Genomic DNA, 3,351 nt, shown 5'->3' with positions numbered 1-3,351 from the left:
TTCTAATAAAGCAAACTTTTCCCATCTCTTCACATATCACAATATAAGCTCCTCAGTTTCAAAGACTGCTTTCTTCACTGCTTTATCCCCAGTACTCAGAATAGGCCTGGCACATGGTAGGTGTTTAATAAATATTTGTTAAGTGAGTGATTGAAACTCCAATTTAGTGGCATTTCAGATGGAAGTGTCAATTAATGCATGTAACTGGACAATAAGCATTTTTAATACAAAAATCAACTAGGTGGTGCATGGTGGCTCATGCCTGTAATCCCAGCACTTTGAAAGGCTGAGGCGATTGGATTGTTTGAGGTCAGGAGTTCGAGACTAGCCTGGCCAACATGGCTAAACCCCATCTCTACTAATAATACAAAAATTAGCCAGGTGTGGTGGCATGTGCCTGTAATCCCAGCTATCTGGGAGGCTTAGGCAGGAGAATCACTTGAACCTGGGAGGCAGAGGTTGCAGTGAGCCGAGATCACGCCACTGCATTCCAACCTGGGGGACAGAGAGAAAATCTGTCACACACACACACACACACACACACACAATCAATTAAATTAATAAAGAGCTATACTTTCAGCTTCTGTTTGAATGCCTGAAATCATAATAATTCCCTAAAAGGCAGTGAATCCCACCTTTAGGAAGAGCTAATGATTTTTAAAAACTGCCTTCAGCACACAACTCAACAGCAAAAAACCAAACAACATCAATACAAATTGGGCAAAAGACTTAAGTAGACATTTCTCCAGACAAGAGATACAAATGGCTAACAAACACATGAAAAGATACTTAACATCACTAATCATTAGATAAATCCAAAGTAAAACCACAATGAAATACCATTTCACTCTAATTAGGATAGGTACCATTTAAAAAATAAAAATAAAAAATCGATGAAATAGCAAGTGTCAGTAAGGAATGATATGGTTTGGCCATGTCCCCACCCAAATCTCATCTTGAATTCCCACATGTTGTGGGGGGGACCCAGTGGGAGGTAATTGAATCACGGGGTCAGGTCTTTCCTCTGCTGTTCTCATGATAGTGAATAAGTCTCATAAGACCTGATGATTATGTAAGGGGGAGTTTCCCTGTACAAGCTCTCTTCTCTTGTCTGCTGCCGTGTGAGACGTGCCTGTCACCTTCTACCATGACTGTGAGACCTCCCCAGCCACGTGGAACTGTGTCCAATAAGGCTTTCTTTTGTAAATTGCCCGGTCTCAGATATGTCTTCATCAGCAGTGTGAAAACGGACTAATATAGGATTTAGAGAAATTTGAACCCTTTTGCTCTGTTGATGAAAATGTAAAATGGTGTCACTATAGTGGGAAATAGTATGCTGGTTCATGAAAAAATTACCATAGGATCCAGAAATTCTATTCCTGGGTATATACTAAAAAAAAAATGGAAAACAGAAGCTCAAATAGATATTTGCACACCCATGTCGATAGCAGCATTATTCACACTAGCAAAAAGGTGTAAGCAACTCAAGTTCCCATTGAGGAATGAATGGCAAAATAAAATGCAGTAGACACATATAATGGAATATTATTCAGCCTCAAGAAGGAAAAAAATTCTGATACATGCTACAATGTGGATGAACCTTGAGGACATTATATTAAGTGAAATAAACCTGTAACAAAAAGTAAAATATTTTTGTCCAGTTTCAATTATGTGAGGTACCTGGAATAATCAAATTCATAGAAACAGAAAGTAGACTGGTAGCTTCCAGGGTTAAGGGAAGTGGGGAATGGAGAGTTATTGTTAATGGTCTCAGAGTTTCAGTTTCGGAGGATGAAAAAGTTCTGGATATGGATGGTGGTGATGGTTGCACAATGTGAATATACATAATGTGACTGAACTGTACATTTAAACGTGGCTAAGATAGGCAATTTTATGTTGTGTGTATTTTAACACAATTTAAAAAACTGTGTTCAGCTAAAATATGCCAGTCGGAAAATGTTATCTGAAGGACCTTGTTTTATTCCTCTGGTTACAGGAGGAACCTCTTAAGATATTAATTGAAACATTTGAAGGCAGTAATCAGTGATTGAATCAGGAAGTTCCAAGTCATCTATTTTCCCGACTAATCTTCCCCATTCGAGTGCCTGTCATCTTTCCTACTTGAGCTGGTTTCTTGGTTGCTGTTCTCTGTCTGTCATCCAATTCGGGAATGCCAGAGACCCAGAGCTGCTAGCAGTGTTCAATGGGCAGCAGGTAACTTTCTCAGTGTTTGTTTCATGGAAATGTTAATCAACCTTGAGACATTATGGGGTATTTTCAGAAATGATGAGTTTTGTGGTCACAATGAGCTAAACAGGTTTTTTTGTGTTATTGTTTTTGCAGGATTTTCCAGAGCATGTAATAGGCGAATGTGCATGGTCAGTTTCCAAGAGCAGGACACAGTATGAAAGCGGCTCTCAAACATTTTTGATTGCAGCCTTTTTCTCCACCTCAAGACAGTGAAACATTATTTGGGAAAATTTTCACTAGCGTATTGCTAACTGCTGCATTTGCTGAGTTCCATCAACTCATGAGTTTTTATGTGTGTACTCAGAGCACAAGAATTGTTTCTGGATCTAGGCTATGGTGCTTTTCAGTTCTTGGAAATAATTTCCCTGAAATGTCCTCTGAGAAAGTCAAGAATTTCCCTGAAATGATCTCTGAGAAAGTCAATGTGATTTCTTTTGGTATGGTACAGAATATGCTCTGTACGTATAAGAGACACTGCCACTCAAAATAGGCCCAGTGCCTAGCTGCAAGACTTAAAGTTGAGTTACATCATCTCATTTGAGTGCCACAAATCATGCATTGAATTTTTCCAAGGCTCTGAAAGCACACAACTTTCATATAATACAAGTCTACATTTGCTTATTCAAAATCCCAAATTGCCAGATGTGTCTTGTAATTTGAGATTTTCTGAATCTTAGAAATGTAATATAATGCCTCTACCACTACATTATCACCCCAGCAGGGTCTGAAGACACACCTTTTAAATAAATGCATCAATATTTGTTGAATATTCATACTTTGTAGGATAAATAAAAACTATAAATAAATATATCAGTCTATATCAGGTTTTATTTTCAAAGGAATTTCAGTGACTCATTTACTAAAAACTAACTTTGGGTTTCAGACTATTTTGAGTTTTGAAATAGAAGCTAAAACACTATAGGCACCCTAGTGAAAACCAAGCTGGGTTAATTAATGCTAACAGACTTTTGCTAACATCAGGTCTTAATATTTCTCAATGTTCTGATCTTTGGAGGAACAGTGGAAAAATTCCCAGAGAAAAAAATACTTAAAGGAAAAGAGATGGAGTAATTTCTCTTAAATCTACTTTCCCTGGCCCCT

The 3,351-nt window shown here is 37.9% G+C and overlaps 1 long non-coding RNA gene across 1 annotated transcript; it reads left to right on the top strand.

Annotated features, from left to right (window-relative positions):
• Positions 1–2,002: 2,002 nt before the first annotated feature.
• LOC124902788 (uncharacterized) lies at positions 2,003–3,058 on the top strand. The gene is made up of 2 exons (XR_007062947.1): positions 2,003–2,214; positions 2,344–3,058. It is a non-coding gene; the product is annotated as an uncharacterized LOC124902788 (long non-coding RNA).
• Positions 3,059–3,351: the final 293 nt, after the last annotated feature.

This window comes from Homo sapiens, chromosome 11, assembly GCF_000001405.40.
Source record: "Homo sapiens chromosome 11, GRCh38.p14 Primary Assembly".
Classification (NCBI taxonomy): Eukaryota; Metazoa; Chordata; class Mammalia; order Primates; family Hominidae; genus Homo; species Homo sapiens.
This window is presented reverse-complemented; position numbering and strand designations above follow the sequence as displayed.